This window comes from Homo sapiens, chromosome 20 (assembly GCF_000001405.40).
Source record: "Homo sapiens chromosome 20, GRCh38.p14 Primary Assembly".
NCBI classification, from domain to species: domain Eukaryota; kingdom Metazoa; phylum Chordata; class Mammalia; order Primates; family Hominidae; genus Homo; species Homo sapiens.
In genome coordinates, this window is record NC_000020.11 from 48,920,160 (window position 1) to 48,940,956 (window position 20,797).

The 20,797-nt window shown below is 47.3% G+C and overlaps 1 protein-coding gene across 3 annotated transcripts in view, besides 4 other annotated features; it reads left to right on the top strand.

The window, feature by feature from the left end:
* Positions 1,313 to 1,392: a silencer, noted in NCBI's record as "silent region_12990". NCBI's record gives its function as "represses an Ori minimal core promoter by ATAC-STARR-seq in GM12878 lymphoblastoid cells {active_cell/tissue: GM12878}" and the evidence as "EXISTENCE:reporter gene assay evidence [ECO:0000049][PMID:35858748]".
* ARFGEF2 (ARF guanine nucleotide exchange factor 2) overlaps positions 1,552 to 20,797 on the top strand; it is a 114,983-nt gene continuing 95,737 nt past the window's right edge. For all 3 annotated transcript variants that reach the window (NM_006420.3, NM_001410846.1, XM_047439832.1), the window contains exon 1: positions 1,552 to 1,851. In NM_006420.3, the coding sequence (NP_006411.2) occupies positions 1,731 to 1,851 (121 nt within the window). In that variant the 5' untranslated portion in view covers positions 1,552 to 1,730. The remainder of the gene's footprint in view (positions 1,852 to 20,797) is intronic.
* Positions 1,623 to 1,722: a silencer, noted in NCBI's record as "silent region_12991". NCBI's record gives its function as "represses an Ori minimal core promoter by ATAC-STARR-seq in GM12878 lymphoblastoid cells {active_cell/tissue: GM12878}" and the evidence as "EXISTENCE:reporter gene assay evidence [ECO:0000049][PMID:35858748]".
* Positions 1,763 to 1,812: a silencer, noted in NCBI's record as "silent region_12992". NCBI's record gives its function as "represses an Ori minimal core promoter by ATAC-STARR-seq in GM12878 lymphoblastoid cells {active_cell/tissue: GM12878}" and the evidence as "EXISTENCE:reporter gene assay evidence [ECO:0000049][PMID:35858748]".
* Positions 2,183 to 2,262: an enhancer, noted in NCBI's record as "active region_18052". NCBI's record gives its function as "activates an Ori minimal core promoter by ATAC-STARR-seq in GM12878 lymphoblastoid cells {active_cell/tissue: GM12878}" and the evidence as "EXISTENCE:reporter gene assay evidence [ECO:0000049][PMID:35858748]".

The window sequence follows — 20,797 nt, forward strand, 5'->3', positions numbered from 1 at the left end:
CTGTGATAGCATCATTGTGGAATGGAGTGGAAGCTGCCTTGGGGCCAGAGTATCTGTCCCCCAGCACTCATTTGCAGGCTGTGTGACACTGGCCATCTGGGTTTCTTCCCCTGACTCCCAAAGCCCAGGTCCAGTTCACTGCACTGTGAGGGTTCACAGGTTTATAACAGGATAAACTACAGAGAGAGGTCAGTGCTTCCTGGTATACTATGCACAGCTGCGACACTCAATAAACAGAAGTTCACTGAACTGCAAGGTCACTGCTGCTGTGACAGGAGGGTCATATGGATGTGTGTATCTTGCCAGTGGCTGTGGTGAAACCCTGCTTGTGGAGAATAGACATAAACACACCTTCTCTCTCTCCCTCTCTGTCTTCCTTTCACCTCCCCTCTCCCTCCACCCCTTCCATTTCCTATTCTCCCAGCATGTTCTTTCCACTCTTCCTCACCTCCTTCCCCTTCACCTCCTTCCTACACCATTCCTTTTTCCATCTCTTTCCTGTTTTCCTAACTTGTTACTCTCATCTTTTTCTTTCTTTTCTGTTCTTCCTGACAGCTCCCCTTCCTACCTCCTCTCCCTTCACCCTTTCTCCTACTCTTTCCCCTCCTCTCATTTCTACCTCTCTTTCCTTTTCACTTCCCCTCTCCCTCCTGTCTTTCTCCTTTTTCTTTTACCTCTGTGCCTCCCTCTCACCTCTTCCCACACCACCTCATCTCCTCCATAACTAACTCACCTCCTTTTTGTTTGTTTGTTTTTTGAGACAGGGTCTCCTTCTGTGGCCCAGGCTGGAGTGCAGTGGTGCCATCACAGCTCACTGCGGCCTCAACCTCCGAGGCTCAAGCGATCCTCCCACCTCAGCCTCCCCAGTAGCTGGGACCACAAGCAGCGCCACCAGGCCCGGCTGTTTTACTTTTTATTTTGTAGAGAAAGGGTCTCCCTATGTTGCCCAGGCTGGTCTCGAACTCCTGGGCTCAAGCGATGCTCCCGCCTTGGCCTCCGGAAGCGCTGGGATTAGAGGCGTGAGCCGCCGCGCCGGGCCTCCCCCCTTCCCCTCCGCCGCCGCCTTCTCATCGCCCTTCCTCCTTCCTCCTGACGCCCCTTACTCCCGATCACTTCTCATTCATTCACCAGCTTCCAGTCCTCGCTCCCTCACCTCTTTTCTTTCCTACTCGCCTTCTCCTCCTGCCCCTTTATCATCTCTCCTTGTCACCGTTCTTTTTTGCCAATCCTCTCGTTCCCCTTCCTTTCCTCATCTCCTCTCTTACCCACGTCATCTCCATTCTCGTGCTCCCCTTCACCTCCCGTTACCTTGCGCTTCTCTCCTCTCATCTCCATCACCACCTCTCCCCGCTTTCGCCTTTCTTTAGCCCCCGCGTCCCCTATACCCTTCGCCCATGCCCACTCCCCTCCCCACCTTCTCTTCTTCCACCCTCCACCCTCGCCTTCTGTCTCTCGCCCACCTGACTCCGCTCCGCCCCCAGCCTTAGGCTCCGCCCCGCTGGGGGTCACGGGGCCGACGGACGCTAGGCGGCCGTAGCGGCCTCGCCAGTCACGTGGTCACGTGACGCGCTCCAACATGGCGGCGCCGTGGGGCCGAGGTGTCGCTTCCTGACGGGGCGGCGCGGACGGACGCGGCCGGTGCCGGCCGGGACGCCGGGCCCGCAGCCTAGCTCGCCATCTCGCTCACGCCGCCCGCCCGCGGGGCCGTCAGCCCCCGCCGGGCCGGGGCCATGCAGGAGAGCCAGACCAAGAGCATGTTCGTGTCCCGGGCCCTGGAGAAGATCCTAGCCGACAAGGAGGTGAAGCGGCCCCAGCACTCCCAGCTGCGCAGGGCCTGCCAGGTGGCGCTCGGTGGGTGAGCCGCTCCCGCCCTGCCCCGCGCTGGCCTCAGCACGTCGGCCGTTGCCCTATCCTACTCGGCCTTGGCCCGGCCTCCTGGCCTCCGCTTCCCCCCGATCCCGAATTCCACCCTTCCGGCCTCCTCCTCATTATACCCCCGGAGGAAGTGTTGCCCGGGCAGCTCGGGACTGGCCCAAGGTCACCTAGCAAGTTGGTGACAACCAGAGCTTGTTCCTCAGGGTTCCAGCTCAGGGCTTTTGCCACGATTCCTTGTCGCCCTGTTTCCTGGTTCCTCCCCTCACCACCTCCAAGTCCTAGAAACAGTAGCCCTTGCCCCAAGTTTTTTCGTTACCTGAGCTCTGCTGATTGGGGTTCCCCTAGGTGAACAGAGCATGTAGGAAGAGCCGTCCAACTGGTTTAGGGAAACCCCTGATTCTTGTTTTGGAAGTGCCCGTTGGAGAATGTTTTCCTTTGGTTTGGGGATCTCCCATAGCTCTTTCCCTCAAGGAAGGATTGTAGAAGGTGTTCTGGATCTCCCAGGCATTGTAGTGAGCAAGACATCTGCTTATTCCTAGCAGTCCACTAAAATACAAGGTCTTCAGCGCGAAGATACTTGTCTGACTTATTCATTGCTGTATCCCTTGCGCTTGCAACAGTGCCTGGCGCACAGTAGGTGCTCGATAAATATTTGCTGATTGAATGGACCCTCAGATTATGGAAAGAGGGAGAATTCTAACTAATAGTTAAAGGCTTGATAATTGATAGCAAAATCACTATCCTATCTTTCAGTTTTAATCATTTAACAAATATTTATCAAGTGCCCACTGCATACCAGGTACTGAGAATTCAGTGGGGAACAAGACGGACATGGTCCTTACCCCTATGGAGCTTATACTCGAATAGAGGAGACAAAATAATTAATTAAGAAAATAGGTGAGGTATTTTGGAATACTGATAAATACTATTTTGAAAATAAAACAGCAAGATGTGATAAAGAGGGCTTGAGGACTGCTTTCCATGGTCAGGAAAGTAATCTTTTCCAAGAGGAAAAGTAATCAGGTGGTCAGGAAAGTAATCTTTTCCAAGAGGGTGACACTTGAGCTGAATACTGAAAGGCAAGAACTATCCACCATATGGAGTTTCAGAAGAGAGTTCTTGGTGGGAGAATCCATGCATTTGACCAGAGCTGTTTTCAAGCTAATTCACTGCCCCAACGTCTTTGGTTTGGAATCTGTAAAGGCCTGTTTTTCCTAACAAAATGAGCAAATGGAAAGTTTGATTTTTAGTCACATAGTTTGAGATTGTTATCACCTTTCTCCTTTCATTTGCTACAAAGTATAGAGTAGTGTTCTTTTGGCATTTAGAAATAGGCTGGTGAACTTTGCACTTCCCTGGAAAGAAGGTCCCTGGCTTTCATCAGATTTTCAGAGGGCCCTGAGACTCCCTCAGGGGCCAACTATTGATGCAGAGGTGGTAGTCTAGATAATCTGGAAACAGTTGCTAGTCCGTGAAATTCAGGATCAGTGGAAGGAATTTACTGAGATGTAGATTTTTAAAGCTTTTCTCTTCCAATAACCAAGGCTGTTGGGTATTTTATCAGCAATGTGGGATAAGCACTGCAAAGCAGTTTGTTAGGCAAGAGCCTGGTATTTATAACTCCACGTTGAAATCTGCCTGGACTCTATCTTCTCGATATTGTTGTGGAGGTTTCAGAATAGTTATTTGGCAGAAGAGTTTTTATTTTTTCTTCAGAAAACTTCTTAACATAAAATTTTCACCAAAGTGTGCATCATATTATTGGAACCTACTTATAAAATTTTCATCTGGGTCATGAAGGGCCATTAACGCTGAGAATTTAATAGATATTTTCGGATCGTATCTTTGTTCAGAAGTTCAAGTTTTCCTAACACAAGTAGTGGAATGCATGTTTTCAGTTTTTAGTAGTGAATTGTAAAAAATGGCCTAGATAGGAAGTAATTTGACTACAGGTTATATGAATCACAAATTGGGGTTGTGCCAATGGCATAATAGGAACTGTCATAAGGGAACGTATGCATATTGTTAAGTGACCATCTTTTTTAAGAGAATAATTGTGTGTCATTGCTGTTAAATAGAAATGACTGCTTTTACTTAGAGTAGAACACATAGCAGAATGCCTGGTGATATTTCTCTCTGTCTCTCAAGGCCCAGTCTTGTGTCCAGTAGTCCCATTTAAGAAGAGAAATTTGGGGCCAGGTGCGGTGGCTCACGCCTGTAATCCCAGCACTTTAGGAGGCTGAGGCAGGCAGATCACGAGGTCAGGAGATCGAAACCATCCTGGCTAACACGGTGAAACCCCGCCTCTACTAAAAATAACAAAAAAAATTAGCTGGGCGCTGTGGCGGGCACCTGTAGTCCCACCTACTCGGGAGGCTGAGGCAGGAGAATGGCGTGAACCCAGGAGGTGGAGCTTGCAGTGAGCTGAGATTGCGCCACTGCACTCCAGCCTGGGCGACAAAACAAGACTCTGTCTCAAAAAAAAAAAAAAAAAAAAAGGCTGAAACGAGCCAGTGTATAAGGAGCAGCTATGTGGTATTTTAGAGATTACCATGTATAGATTGTTGTTAATTGTGATAAGAGGAACTGTAAATGACGGCTCAAAGTTGAAATGCTTGGATGATAGAGAGCATTTACAGGAAACAGCTTCTGTGATATGATTCCACCAGCTGTAGCATATTAGGGGAGAGGATCAGGGCTGCAGGGACTGTATAGTGTAGATGTTAGCTAGGAGTGTATTCTTTGGGACCCTAGACTTCTGTGTTCAAACCTCCTGCCTTCCACTTGCTACGTTTGTGATCTTGGACAAGTTACTTCCTTATAGGATTATTGTAAAGATTAAGTTAATTGACATGTGCAAAAAACTTGGCATGTAGTAGGTGCTCAGTAAATGCTTGCTATTACTTTTTTATTATTATTATTTTAAGCTGTGACAAACCACAGCAGCTGTAATTACTCTGGTTTGATGTTCTTAACCTTAGTTCCTCGTTCAGGAATGACTTACTGCTCTATTTGGTTTGTAGATGCAGTAAATAAGAATGTAATTACGTGATTGAAAGGCTGTGTTGGAGTATTAACTTCCTAAACTCAATGAAGACAGGGGTTGTCCTTTGTAAAAATTGTGATAATCATGATGGAGCAGATTTGGAGTAATCTCAATGATTCGTCCGCACTATACACCAAAAGCATAAATAGGGACTGCCCAAGTAGGGGATAGTGCCCTTCCAACCTTTATCTGGAGAAATCAAGACAGCCTGTGAGAGTATTCATCGCCCCAAGGATACTGTTGCTCTTTACCTTGTTATGAAACTTTGATATATATTAATAATCTTCAACCTTTCAGCCCTCTGTTGGAGAATATAATTACATTCTTAAACCTCCCTTTTATAATTGTCTTATTTAAGACTCATCTTCTCCCATCATGTATCTTTAAGTTATGTTTCTGCTCTTAAACTATATGAAGTTTGGAGGCTTAATAGGATAATCTATTTAAAATTCGATATGGAAAAATTTATCTATGGCTGGGCACTGTGGTTCATGCCTGTAATTCCAGCGCTTTAGGAGGCCAAGGTGGGCAGATTGCATGAGCCCAGGAGTTTGAGACCAGCCTGTGCAACATGGCAAAACCCCATCTCTAAAAAAATATATAAAAATTAGCTGGGTGTGGTAGTGCATGCCTGTAGTCCCGGCTACTTGGGAGGCTGAGGTGGGAGGATGACTTGAACCTAGGAAATGGAGGTTGCAGTGAGTTGAGATCATGCCATTGCACTCCAGCCGAGACAGCAGGGTGAGACCCTCACACAAAAGTGCTAAGTAATGGCTAGGTGCTCTATAATTACTAGTTGTCATTATTCTCAGCCATTATCAAGAAAATTTAAAAAGAATAGTAAACATACGTATTTTCATATGAAATTGAATGACTTTTAAAGATCACATGTTGTATTATATCTCCTATGTACTAAGCATTTCTGAGTTCCAGGCACAGTAAAGTGGGCTTTTCATGCAATTTAGTTCTCACTATTATCATCATTCCCACTGAGGCCCAGAGAAGTTAAGTTGGCCAGGGTAACTCAGTAAGTGATGGAACCAGGGTATAAACACAGGCAATCTGGCTCCATAGTCCAAGATCTTAACTATTACTACCATGTTTTCTTGCTTCTCCATATGAAAGTTGTTATGTTTGAAATACTCAGTAGAGTTTTTAAAACAATCAGTATACCGCAGTGGAGTTTCAGGAGACTGTATTTTCTATAGCTGAATTTTGAGATATGTTTGAAAGCCTTGAGTCAAAAAGATCACAGCTCTTTTCTTCAGGTTTTTACTACATATATACTAGGTTTACTTTAATTAGGGGCTAATGGAAAGAAGGAAATGAGAGTAAAGAGCTGGTTACACATAAGTTTCATTTGAGTTATTCAGTTTTTCTTTTTTTTTTTTGAGACAGGATCTTGCTCTGTGGCCCAGGCTGGAGTGCAGTGGTGGGGTGCGATCTCAGGTCACTGCAACCTCTCCATCCCTGGCTCAGGTGATCCTCCCATTTCAGCCTCCCAAGTAGCTAGGACTACAGGGGCGTACCACCCACCTGGCTAATTTTTCTGTTTTTAGTAGAGACGGGGTTTTTCTGTTGTCTGGGCTGGAGTTAATCAGTTTTTCTAATTGATGATATCTCTTCATCAGCAGTAAACTCCCTCTTATTAATTCTGGAGTTGTGACCTGTTATTAATTCTGGATTGTGATTCATTTCTTTGGGTACAGCAGGCAATGGGAGACCAAGGCTAAGGAAGAGAGCAACTTGCCCATCCACATCCACACAGCTGGGTGGGGAAACGTAGCTGCAGCACATGATGTAGCTTCACATAGATCATAACATCCATTCTTAGATTTGCTCCTCTGTTTAATATACGAGATTTAGGATGTGGATGGGTCATTGGTGACCTTAGCTTGAGCTTTTTTGATGCTGTGATGGAGGTGAAAGCCAGACTGGCATGGGTTGAGGCGTGGGAGGTGAGGAAACAGATGGTGAGCATAGTCAGCTCTCCCAAAGTTTGGTTGTGTTGTAAAGAGGAAGAAGGAGTGGCTCCTGGGAGTTGTTTGTTTATTTAAAGGTAGAAAAGATTTTAACTTTAAATATTGTTAAGGGATCCAGTTAAGGAAGTATATTCCTAAATCTTAGTTGTATATGAATGTGTGTAAGACATACAAATGGGCATTTATCATATGGACATCTGTGTGTCCATATGATACATAAATTGCTTTTTCTTCCATATGATCCTTTTATTCTAATTTTGATGTGTTCAGAAAAACCATTCTCATCATGAGGATTACTGTGAAACTTGAAAAATATAAAAAACATCTCTAAATTGATGTAACGTGGCGGGGCATGGTGGCTCACGCCTGTAATCTCAGTACTTTGGGAGGTCGAGGCGGGCGGCTCAGTTGAGGCCAGGGGTTCAAGACTAGCCTGGCCAAAATGGCGAAACCCCATCTGTACTAAAATACAAAAATTAGCTGGGCGTGGTGGCGCACACCCGTAATCCCAGCTACTTGGGAGGCTGAGGCAGGAGAATTGCTTGAACCCGGGAGGTGGAGGTTGCAGTGAGCCAAGATGGCGCCACTGCACTCCAGCCTTGGCAACAGAGCGAGACTCTGTCTCAAAAAAAAAAAAATTAAAAAATAAATAAATAAATTGACATAACAAGACTTTAAATTGAAATGCAGAATAAAGCCTTTAATTTTAGCAAATTCTAGTGTTTTGATGAGACATTTCGTTTATAAGTGCTATGTATCATAAAAATTTTGAGAAATAACAGGACTCAGGACCCTGGAAGATTACTTTTTGTTGAAAACCACTGTGGATTCTTCAGGAGGAGGTTATCTGTCTGGAAGCAGCATCAAAAAACTGGATTGTTCTTGATTATTGAAAAGCATTTATATGTAGGATTGGCAGAGAGTTGATTGAGACTTTGAAAGTTTGATTTGCTTATTGATAGTCCAGTGATCCCTCTTTGGGCCGCAGTTTCCCAAGGTGATAAAGATAGTAATACCTTTGTCACAGGATTATTGCAAAGGTTAAATGGACTAGTGCAGTAAGTAACTGGCACAGTACCTGGCACCTAACAGATGACCTGCTGAAATTCAGAGGCATTGGTGTTGCAATCTTTTTTTTTTTTTTTTTTTTTTTTGAGACGGAGTCTCGCTCTGTCGCCCAGGCTGGAGTGCAGTGGCGCGATCTCGGCTCACTGCAAGCTCCGCCTCCCGGGTTCACGCCATTCTCCTGCCTCAGCCTCCCGAGTAGCTGGGACTACAGGCGCCCGCTACCACGCCCGGCTAATTTTTTGTATTTTTAGTAGAGACGGGGTTTCACCGTGTTAGCCAGGATGGTCTCGATCTCCTGACCTCGTGATCCGCCCGCCTCGGCCTCCCAAAGTGCTGGGATTACAGGCGTGAGCCACCGCGCCCGGCCGCAATCTTTTTTTTTTTGAGCCAGTCTCGCTCTGTCGCCCAGGCTGGAGTGCAGTGGCGTGATCTCGGCTCACTGCAAGCTCTGCCTCCTGGGTTCACGCCATTCTCCTGCCTCAGCCTCCCAAGTAGCTGGGACCACAGGCGCCCGCCACCACACCCAGCTAATTTTTTGTATTTTTAGTAGAGACGGGGTTTCACCGTGTTAGCCAGGATGGTTTCGATCTCCTGACCTCGTGATCTGCCCGCCTCAGCCTCCTAAAGTGCTGGGATTACAGGCGTGAGCCACTGCGCCCAGCCGGTGTTGCAGTCTTTAAAGGAAAAGGAACTGAATGCTTGCCTTTCTCTACCTCCCCTATTAGTTGGTTTATAGACCTTTTTGTAAGTCTCCAACATGAGTGAAGCAGTGGTTGGATAGAATGAATTTAGAGCTCTATCCTGTACTTGTAAATCTCAGGGGAGAGTCTGAAAGCAGTGCTAGGGAAAACAGTAAGACCATTCTTCATGAAAAAGAGTGAACTTGTGAAAATGTGTACTTAATCAGCAAGAACATGGAGTGTCCTATATAAATAGCTCAGAGCTGTGTTTAGCTCTTGCCAGTTTCACCAGGCTTAGGGGGCCTGCCAGGAAAATACTTGACTTTCTTTCCAGCAAGGTTATCCTAGAAAAAATAGTTTTGCATTTGCTGATTCATTTCTGAAATTTTCCAGTGAGAAGCTCATTTCTGTTTAGTGCCTTGGGTGTAAACAAGCCTTCTGGCTTGATATTTTATTAGGTTTTATACCTTTGTGAGGAGAACAGCCTTCTTGTGCTAGGACACAAAATTCTTAAGTTTTCCTTCCGTCCTAGGGAGTGGTCAGTGTATATTTGTCGTTCTGAATATAGCCCTTTTGCCTGTTGACTAAACCAGACCCAACATTTATTCAGAAGATATTTATTTGGGTGTCACCCCTGGTGTCATGATGCAGAGGGATCAAAACAAACAAGGACCATGTTCTGAAGGAGTTTGCAGTTGAATGGGGTAGATGGGCATTGTTCAGAGGATATGCCCTCTAGGTCATAATAACAACCCGAGAAGTACTGAAGGAAAGAAACCTGGTTCTGCCAGGGCAGTGAACAGTGGGGTGAGGGAAGACTTCCCTGAGGAAGTCTCACTCATTCATTGAGAATTAATGATGAGTGAGAATTAAGTAGTTGGGGGCAGGAGGCATTTCAGCAGAGGGAACAACCTGAGTGAAGGCTCTATGGCAGAGAGGAAAACAGTTGTTGGGGAAACTGAAAGAGGCCAGTGTGTGGTTGGAACATTGTACTTGAGCAAAGAGAGTGGAGATGGAGTGGGAGTGGGAGAGGTAGGCCAAGACCCCAACATGCAAGGCCTGGAGGTCATGGCTAGGAGTTTTATTTTTTAGGTCAAAGGCAGTGAGATGACACTGAAGAGTTTTAAACCGGGAAGCAGGTGATAGGATGACCAGGTGTATTATTTTGGAAAAATCATTTGGACCACTGTGTTCAGAACATCTTAGGGGAAGACCAGAGGGATTGCCAAGGAACCAATGAAGAGACTGTCTTAGTCCATTTTGTGCTGCTTTAACAGAATGCTACTCACTGGGCGATTTATAAAGAACAGAAGTTTATTTGGCTCACAGTCCAAGAGCATGGCACTAGCATCTGGCCAGGGTCATCCTATGGCGGAAGGCGAGAGAGGAAATGGGGGTTGAACTCATCTTTTTATCAGGAGCACACTCATGCAGTAACGTATTAGTCCATTCATGAGGGCAGAGCCCTCGTGACCTAATCACTTCTTAAAGGCTCCACTCTTACACCATCACAGTGGCAATTAATTTGCAGCAGAGTTTTGGTAGGGACATTCAAACCATCGCAGGCAGTTACCATTGTTCAGGTGAGAGATATTGGTGGCCTGGACTAGTGGTGACAGTAGAAATAGAGCAAAGAAAATGAATTTCCAACCTGGTTAGAAGATGAAGCCAACAAAACCTTGTGATGGAGCGAGTAAGAGCATGGGAAAGAGGATTGATAAGCTTGACTCTCCGATTTCTGACTCACCCAGCTGGGTGGATGGTGCCTATTTTTTAAGATGGGAATGTGGGAAGAGGACTACATGGAGTGGTGGAGGGAGGAAGTTGATCTGAGTTGGGACTTGGATGTGTGGAGTTTGGTCTGCCTTTGAGCATTCAGTTGGACATGTGAAATGGGAAGTGGCCAGTTGTATGAGCCTGATGTTCATAAGAGAGGTCTGGGCTTAAGATAGGAATTTGGGAGTCAGCAGAGTCTAGGTGGGAATGGGAAGCCTGGTGAGACGGTATACAGAGGGAGAGGCAGGAGGCCTGGGCCTGAGAACCCTCCAGGCCTTTTCTGGCTGGGCAGAGGAGGCTGAGTCTGCAGACGAAATAGAGCAGAGATGGGTAAGAAGCGGAGGAAAGATGAGGAAAATATGTGGTTATGAAGCCCGAAGTCGAGAAAATTTGAGAGTGAGGTCAGTAAGGTGAAATGCTACAGAGAGGTCAAGTGAGGTAAAGACTGGAAAAATGCCCATCAGATTTAGAGACATGTGGGTCATTGGTGGCCTTAGCTTGAGCTGTTTTGGTGGCATGATGGAGGTGAAAGCCAGACTGGCGTGGGAGGTGAGGAAACAGACGGTGAACATAGACAACTCTTTCCCGAAGGTTGGCTGTGGGAGGAGGGAGATGTGGATGTTAAAAGTATTTTGTTTTTTCTTTTTTTTAAGGTAGAAGAGACTTGAACTTGTTTAAATGTCATTGGGGAGGGAGCCAGTTCAAGGAGAGGTTTGGTAATGCAGAAAGAAGAAAGGACAGTGTTTCATTTTTTCAACAAATGTTGAGTGCCTGCCACTCTGTGCTGAAGAATTCTCAGTACTTGGGAATTCAGCAGTGAACAGAACAGGCAAAGTGTCTGTTGTCATAGAGTTTATGTTCTGCTGGGGAAGGCAGATAGTAAATGAACTGATATATAATATGTCAAGGGTGATAAATACTAAAAAAAGACTAAAAAAATGAATTAGTAAAGTGAGAGAACAAACCAGGTAAGGAGATACAGGGTGACAAGGGGGTGGCAGTATTAGGTGCTGAGGAAGTCCCCTGAGGAGGACATCAGAGCAGAGATCTGAAGGAAGTGAGGGGGTGAGCCATGGAGATATCTGGGGGGAGGGAGGGCATTCCCAGGAGCAGGAATAGCTCATGCAAAGGCCCCGGGGCAGAAATGTGCTTGGTGTGTTCGAGCAAGTAGGCCAGGGCCAGGGTGGTAGAAGGTGAGAGCAGAGGGATAGCAGGGGCCAGATCACATAGAGGTTTGGAGGCCAAGATCGAGAGTTTTAATTTTACGCGGAGTGGGATGGAAAGCTACTGGAGCATTTTGAGCAAAGGAGTGTTGTGATCTGAGTTACATTTTGAGGGCATCCCTCTGGCTGCTGTTGAGAAAAGCTGTGGGGTGGAAGGGAGGATAATTGCTGAAGCATGGAGACCAGTTACAAGACCATTGTGATGGCCCAGGTGGGAGATAACAGTTGCTTGGCCTAGGGTGATAGTGGTGGCCTAGTGTGGTAAGAAGGGATCAGGTTCTAGATATTATGGATAGTGTGAAGTTCCTGAGAAGGCGGATAGGGATGGGAGGTGACAGAGGTGGAGGGGTTGGACACCCACTCCCTTATAGCAGGAGAGAGCAGAGAGTAGGCCCGAAGTGGGTCAGGTTGTAGGTTTGCTAACAGCAAGCTGAGGGAGTCTCCTTGTGCCCACTTCTAATTTCTGAGTGAAGTAGGAGGCCACTCCATTGGTTGTGAGTAAAGAGGACGGCAGCAGAACAGCGATGATTGGGAGGGGAGAGTTGGGCCATTGAGGGTGGAGAAATGTGCAGTAGCCATCGTGGAGAGTGAGAGGTGACCAAATTACTGGGCAGCATTTCAGGTTTCATTCGTGGTGGGTAATTGGGGCTCTGTAGGCCTGCCAACCTGCCCTGTTGTCAGAGGTCTGCTTAGGCGGAGACAGGTGAAAAGGGGACGCTAGTACAATCTAAGTTTGGGATTTTGCCAGAAGTTAAGACTAAAGGTCAGAGAGAGTCCAGGCTATTGATTGCGTGTCATCTGATAATAGTCCTGCTGATGGGATCTACCCTGGAAAATGAGGAAAAAGGAAAGCCGAGAGGTTGGCCATCTCAAGGTTTGACAGGACAAAGACAGGTTCTACTGGGAGCAATTGAGAGGGTCAGCTGGAAGGAGAGAAGAGGAAGGAGCTGGAAGTTCCCCAGTTCCATATAGGGACAAGAGTCAGTGTGACCAGCCTCACCAGGCTGGCTTGGAGTGGAGGAGGATGTGGTAGGTGACTGGGAGCTAAAGGAATTTAGGGGCAGCGTTGGTTTCTGTGGGGGAAGCCTGCGACAGATAGAAGTCTGAGGAGTGTGGAAGGGTTACTGTGGGATCTGGGGGCATTGGCCACTGATGGGATTGTTGGGCAGTGCTGGGTTTGAGGTTGGTGATGGTGATTGTTGGACTTGCCTTGGGAGTGGAAGAGAGAATGCGAGCCAGTGTCAGAGGTGCTGGTGAATGGAGGTGTGTGACCCGAGCGGTAACATCCAGAAAGGATTTCCCGCAAAGACAGCGCGGCTTTTCAGCTGCAGCTGCCCCACCCTGCTCCAGTCTCCCTCATTTCCAGCCTGGAAATTGTTGCTAATTGCCCCATTGGCAGTTGGGAAGGCAACGCCTGTTAAGATGTGGAGCAATAAAGTGGAGCAGGTATGCTGTGCCGTATGCCCCTCTTCCTGCACCGTCCTCCTTCTGTCATCGTTGAGTGGCTCAGGAGTGCTGGCCCTCTAACAGACTGCCTGGGCGTGGATCCTGACTGCAGAGTAGCACTTCTGGCTGTGACGTGGGCAGATGGCTTAACCTCCCTGTGCTCAGATTCCTCACCTGTAAAACAGTTAATGGATGATTAGAGTGTTCCTGCCTCCCTGGGTTGTGGTGAGGACTGAATGAGCACCTGCCACTAGGAGGCAATCAGTGAGTCAGCTATCATCATTATTATTATTAGGGTTCCACTCATTCTCCTTTTCCCTTGGCATTGCTTGATCCCACGGAGATCCCACTAGAGATTTTGCTTTAATACTGACTTGTTTTAAAATAAGAGCAAGAGAACTGACATTTATTGACCACCTGCTGTGTGCCAGCTGCCGCCTTAGTCACCACCAAGACCTCTCTCATGGCGGTGTCAAGAGAATTATCTGCACTCTTGGTGCCTAGTTATGGTCTCTGGAGCATGTGGGGCTGTTTTTTATCACTCCCATTTTTTAGAATAGGAAATCAAGATTCAGGGAAGTTGGCCGGGTGCGGTGGCTCATGCCTGTAATCCCAGCACTTTGGAAGGCTGAGGCGGGTGTGTCACCTGGGGTCAGGAGTTCAAGAACTGCCTGGCCAACATGGCGAAACCCTGTCTCTACTAAAAATATAAAAATTAACCGGGCATGGTGGCACGTGCCTGTAGTCCCAGCTATTTGGGAGGCTGAGGCAGGAGAATCTCTTGAACCCAGGAGGCGGAGGTTGCAGTGAGCCAAGAAGGCGCCACTGCACTCCAGCCTGGGCAACAGAGTGGGACTTCATCTCAAAAAAAAAAAAAAAAAAAAAAAAAGATTCAGGGAAGTTTAATAACCCAATAACCCATCTGGCATCATTCAGCTAATAGATGTCTGTGCCAGGACTTGAACCCAGCTCTGTCTCACACCTGTATCTTTTCTTTCTGCCATATCAGGCTGTGCCATGCTATCTGTGAGGCACCCTGCCACACACACTTTTTCGCTGTTCCTTTTTCTCCCTCCGTTTAAAAAAAAAATTATTACACTTTTAACTTCTGGGATACATGTGCAGAACAAGCAGGTTTGTTACATAGGTGTACGTGTGCCATGGTGGTTTGCTGCACCCATCAACCCGTAATCTGGGTTTTCAGCCCAGCATGTATTAGGTATTTGTCCTAATGCTCTTCCTTCCCCTTGCCTCCCACCCCTCAACAGGCCCTGGTGTGTGATGTGTGCCTCCCTGTGTCCATGTGTTCTCATTGTTCAGCTCCCACTTATGAGTGAGAACATGTGGTGTTTGGTTTTCTGTTCCTATGTTAGTTTGCTGAGAATGATGGCTTCCAGCCTCATCCATGTCCCTGCAAAGGACATGAACTCATTCTTTTTTATGGTTGCATAGTAGTCCATGGTGTATATGTGCCACATTTTCTTTATCCAGTCTATCATTAATGGGCATTCGGGTTGGTTCCAAGTCTTTGCTATTGTGAATAGTGCTGCAGTAAACATACATGTGCATGTGTCTTTATAGTATAATGATTTGTAATCCTTTGGGTATATACCCAGTGATGGGATTGCTGGGTCAAATGGTATTCCTCATTCTAGATCCTTGAGGAATCGCCACACTGTCTTCCACAATGGTTGAACTAATTTACACTCCCACCAACAGTGTAAAAGCGTTCCTATTTCTCCACATCCTCTCCAGCATCTGTTGTTTCCTGACTTGTTAATGATTGCCATTCTAACTGGCGTGAGATGGTATCTCGTTGTGGTTTTGATTTGCATTTCTCTCTTTTTTTCTTTTTTTATTGATCATTCTTGGGTGTTTCTCGCAGGGGGGGATTTGGCAGGGTCACAGGACAATAGTGGAGGGAAGGTCAGCAGATAAACAAGTGAACAAAGGTCCCTGGTTTTCCTAGGCAGAGGACCCTGCGGCCTTCCGCAGTGTTTGTGTCCCTGGGTACTTGAGATTAGGGAGTGGTGATGACTCTTAAGGAGCTTGCTGCCTTCAAGCATCTGTTTAACAAAGCACATCTTGCACCGCCCTTAATCCATTCAACCCTGAGTGGATACAGCACATGTTTCAGAGAGCACAGGGTTGGGGGTAAGGTCACAGATCAACAGGATCCCAAGGCAGAAGAATTTTTCTTAGTACAGAACAAAATGAAAAGTCTCCCATGTCTACCTCTTTCTACACAGACACGGCAACCATCCGATTTCTCAATCTTTTCCCCACCTTTCCCCCCTTTCTATTCCACAAAACCGCCACTGTCATCATGGCCCGTTCTCAATGAGCTGTTGGGTACACCTTGCAGACGGGGTGGTGGCCGGGCAGAGGGGCTCCTCACTTCCCAGTAGGGGCGGCCGGGCAGAGGCGCCCCTCACCTCCTGGACGGGGCGGCTAGCCGGGCGGGGGGCTGACACCCCCACCTCCCTCCCGGACAGGGCGGCTGGCTGGGCGGGGGGCTGACCCCCCCACCTCCCTCCCGGACGGGGCGGCTGGCCGGGCGGGGGGCTGACCCCCCAACCTCCCTCCCGGACGGGGCGGCTGGCCGGGCAGAGGAGCTCCTTACTTCCCAGTAGGGGCGGCCGGGCAGAGGCACCCCTCACTTCCCGCATGGGGCGGCTGGCCGGGGGGGGGGGCTGACCCCCCTACCTCCCTCCCGGACGGGGCGGCTGGCCGGGCAGAGGGGCTCCTCACTTCCCAGTAGGGGCGGCCGGGCAGAGGCGCCCCTCACTTCCCGCATGGGGCGGCTGGCCGGGCCGGGGGCTGAACCCCCACCTCCCTCCCGGACGGGGCGGCTGGCCGGGCGGGGGGCTGACCCCCCCACCTCCCTCCCGGACGGGGCGGCTGGCCGGGCAGAGGGGCTCCTCACTTCCCAGTAGGGGCGGCCGGGCAGAGGCGCCCCTCACCTCCCGGACGGGGCGGCTGGCCGGGCGGGGGGCTGACCCCCCCACCCCTGCCGGACGGGGCGGCTGGCCAGGCGGGGGGCTGACCCCCCCCACCTCCCTCCCGGACGGGGCGGCTGGCTGGGCGGGGGGCTGACCCCCCCACCTCCCTCCCGGACGAGGTGGCTGCCGGGTGGAGATGCTCCTCACTTCCCAGACGGGGTGGCTGCTGGGCGGAGGGGCTCCTCACTTCTCAGACGGGGCGGCTGCCGGGCGGAGGGGCTCCTCACTTCTCGGACGGGGCGGTTGCCGGGCAGAGGGTCTCCTCACTTCTCTCTTTTTTTTTTGAGACGGAGTTTCCCTCTTGTTGCCCAGGCTGGAGTGCATTGGCATGATCTCAGCTCACTGCGCCCTTTGCCTCCAGGGTTCAAGCAGTTCTCCTGCCTCAGCTTCCTGAGTAGCTGGGACTACAGGCGTGCACCACCACGCCCAGCTAATTTTTTTATATTTTTAGTAGAGATGGGGTTTCTCTATGTTGGCCAGGCTGGTTTTGAACTCCCTACCTCAGGTGATCTGCCTGCCTGGGCCTCCCAAAGTGCTGGGATTACAGGCATGAGCCACCACATCGGGCCTTGATTTACGTTTCTCTAATGACCAGAGATGATGAGCTGTTTTTCATATGTTTTTTGGCCACATAAATGTCTTCTTTTGAGAAGTGTCTGTTCATATCCTTCGCCCATTTTTTGTTGGGATTGTTCTTCCCTCTTTTAATGGAAAAAAAAAAGATTGCATTATCCAGATATATCAAGAACCCAACTTTTAGGTTGGGCCATATGAGACTACTGCTATTTGAGCATTTCCAGCCTGGGTGAGAGGGTGAGACTCTGTCTCCAAAACAAAAACAAAAGGTGCTGGTGTGCTTCAGACTGTGCCTTCTCTCCACCTGCACGGGCTCTGTCCTGCTCTAAGCCCCCATTGCTGCTAGGCTGGATTATTAGCAGTAACTTCCTGATTGGTTTCCCTGCTTCTGTCCTGGCCACCTTCCTCTTTATCCTCACAGCAGCCAGAGTGATCTGTCCGAAGAAAAGTTGAGTCAGGCCGCCCTCTCCCAGCCCCTCCATGGGCTTCCTCCCATCCCTTACAAAGATGCCGTTATCATCTGGGCCCCTACTGGGCCTAGTGGAGAAGACTTTTCAAGAGTGTCTTTCTTTCTTTATTTCTTTTTTATTAGATGGACTCCAAGTCTTTTTACCATGTTGCTCAGGCTGGTCTGAGCTCCTGAGCTTAAACTGATCTGCCCACCTCAGCCTCCCAAAGTGCTGGGATTACAGGCGTGAGCCACTGGGACTGGCCTCAAGATTTTTTTTTCTTCAACAAAAGAGTAGTTTAGAAAGTGCAGCAATTCCTAATTCTTGTGGGAATACTTAAGGGTAAATTTAGAAAACCAAAGAAAATCTGTGAACATAGGATTTGCAACTGGAGTTTCTTGGGTTTCTGCAGTTACTCTTCCAGGTAGCAACTCTTTCCTGGTCACAGGAGAGGGCTGCTCTCTTCGGTCCCTGTGCCCTGCACTGCTGCTGCTGCCAGTCCTGTCAACGCTTGCTCATTCCCATTCCAAAACCAGGTTTTACCTTTGCTGTGGTCATGCCAGGCCAGAAACAGACTTTGGAGATTTCAGAAGGCTTGTAAACTAGCCTTCCCAGCTGGATGGGTTCACAGAGCAGTAAAACACCAGTGTTTTGAACCGTGGTTGTAGCTTTCATGGTTAGTGTCAGTGCTAGGAAAACCACACATTTAAACTCTTCTGCATTTATGGTTTACAGAGTAATTCCATATGCTTGTTCGAGAGTCGAGGTATCCAGGAGAACACAGACTCTGGAGCCTGATTTTCTGGGTTTAAGTCCCATCTCCAGTACTTAATAACTTGTAACCTCTGTGGATCTTGATTTTCATCTATAAAATTTATAATGGAGTTTGGCCTTGAACTTCAGTCCTCTGGCTCCTTAGTTCTTTGTTCTTTGGCTGGACAACATTTCGCTTATAGAAAACTTGATGTTTTGTCCTCATAGCACTGATCACAGTCCTTAAAAGCCACTTTTAGCCCCTGCAGCTACTTTTCTGCAGCCACTGAAGCACTTTCTCCTCGGCTCTTCTCCATCCCTTAAAGCAAAATTGGCAAACCGGTAGCCTCAGGGCTAGGCAGCTTGCAAACCAGTCTTATTTAAGCCATAATATTTTTTAAATATATTTTTATTGATACATATAGCTGTACATATTTTTGAGGTGCATTGATAATTGGATGCTTTCATATAGTCAAATCAGGGTAGCTGGGATATCCATCACTTTAAATATTTATTTTTTCTTTATATTAGGAACATTTGAATTATTCTTTCCTAGCTATTTTGAAATGTACAGTTGGTTAATGTTAACTGTAGTCATCCTACTGATCTAACGAACACCAGATCTTATTTTTTCTATTTAACATAATTTTAAAACAATTGAAGGTGTTTGAATTACAATCAGAGGTTTCACTTAAAATCTGGATTTCGACCTCTGGAAAAATCAGAACAACTAGCACCTGTGAGCTGAGGGACTCTAAAGATTCCAGTCAGCTGGAGCTGAGGAGCTGCCGCACCCCTTCCTGTACTGGGTGGAGAGGGGGTCCTGTCATTCTTTGATCTTACACCCACCGTGTTTTTTCTTGACATTTCCCGTCTGGCCTCCATGGGCCTTTGTAGTTGGTGTAACTTTTGTGTTTGGTTTGTTTTATGGGTTTTTTTTGTTTGTTTTTTTTTTTTTTGAGAAAGTCTCACTATGTCACCCAGGCTGAAGTGCAGTGGCACCATCTCGGCTCACTGCAATTACTGCTTCCCGGGTTCAAGCGATTCTCCTGCCTCAGCCTCCTGAGTAGCTGGGGTTACAGGTGTGTGGTACCACGCCCTGCTAATTTTCATATTTTTAGTAGAGATGGGGTTTCACCATGTTGGTCAGGCTGGTCTCAAACTCCTGACCTCGTGATCTGCCTGCCTCGGCCTCCCAAAATGCTGGGATTACAGGCATGAGCCACCGCGCCTGGCCTATAGTGGCATTTCAAAACAGATTGTTTTAGAGCTCACAGCCCAGCACCAATGCTAGCGAAGACCTCATTGCTTTAGATAGGTTTAGGACTTAAACTTGACTCTAACAAGGTAATGGTGATTGGAAGGAAAACCTACATTTGAGTTTGGGCAGCAGCACCCCTCTGGCATGTCACAGTGACATATCTTGTCACCCAAGCAGAGCCTTGGCATTATAGATACAGGTTTCTAAAAGCTGATAGCTTGGCTGCCAGCCTCATGGGCTGGATCACCCACAACTTCATGGGCCTCTTCTAGTGGAAGCTGGAGCATTTCCTTGGTGAATTCTTTTCCCTGAGGGGCAAGATCCATGCCACACAGCTCTCTGACCCTGTGTGTCACAACCCTTATGGTCCATGAGCAAAATGGTTGCTAGTAGTCATTTGGGCATTTCTCTTCTGTTTTCTTATGTGTGTAATAAGATATACAAAGTCGGGCTTGAAGATTAGAAATTGCTACTTCCAGTGAGTCAGTTTACTTGGTTTTCACATCTTCAAGTTGAGTCTAGAATGGAGTTACCTAAGAAAAGGAAATTTGCAGCCTTCAGTACCGTGTCCTGGGGTTGCTAGAATAACTAGTGCCATATCCACTCTACTGGCTCTCTAGAGATTGTGTAAAGGAGGCTGGCCTTTTGGAGATGATCTGAATACATGGTATTGAGGACAAACCTCCTTCCCAAGGCTGATTTGATAATATGTGAGTTTGTGGGTCTAACATGTAGAAATACACTCAACTGAGTGGATGTGGGGTAATTCTGTGTATTTAGACAGGGTGTTTTGTTGTTTTAATGGTACGAAACCTTGTTTTCCTGGAAATAACACTATCTCTGAGATTGTGATTTCTGAAAAATGACATTTTATTCCTATAACCCTGCCAAGGGTAGTGCAACCTCTGTGGTTAAGATTTTAAAATTAATTTTAATTCAAAAAAGTCACACGTGCCTTAGCACAATGTGAATGTACTTAATGCCATTCAACTGTAAACTTAAAAGATGGTTAAGATGGTAAATTTTAGGTTATGTATATTTTATTATAATTGTTTTAAAAAGTGCTGATTAAGAAAAAGTATGTATGCTTATCATAGAAAATGTGAAAAAAGAAAAAATCATCATCCCACTACTTAGACAACTTTCAATATTTTATTGGTTTCAATACTTTGTTATATTCGTTTCCAGTCTTCTATGCATATTTGCACACAGTTGAGATGTTGTGATATTACCATGTTATTGTGTCAGCTAACTGTCATGAACATGCATTCTGCAGAACAAGAAACAGGTAAGAACGTGGCTGTAGAGCCAGAAAGCCTCGGTTCAAATTCTGGCTCCCTAGTTCTTGATGTGCAACAGTAGCCAAGTTACCTAACCTCCTGTGCCTTGGTTTCCTCATCAAAATCATTGCTTCTCATCAAGAGCAGTTTTGCTCAGGAGACACTTGGCAATGTCTACAGACGTTTTTGGTTTTCAAGATGGCAGAGGGGTCAGGGGTGCTCCTGGTATCCAGTGGATGGAGGACAGGGATGCTACTAAACATCCTAGAGTGCACAGGGCAGCCTCATAACAAAGAATTCTTCATCCCCAAATGTCAGTGGTGCCAAGGCTGAGAAATCCTCCTCTAAATGAGATGGATATAATAAGAGTATGGACCTCA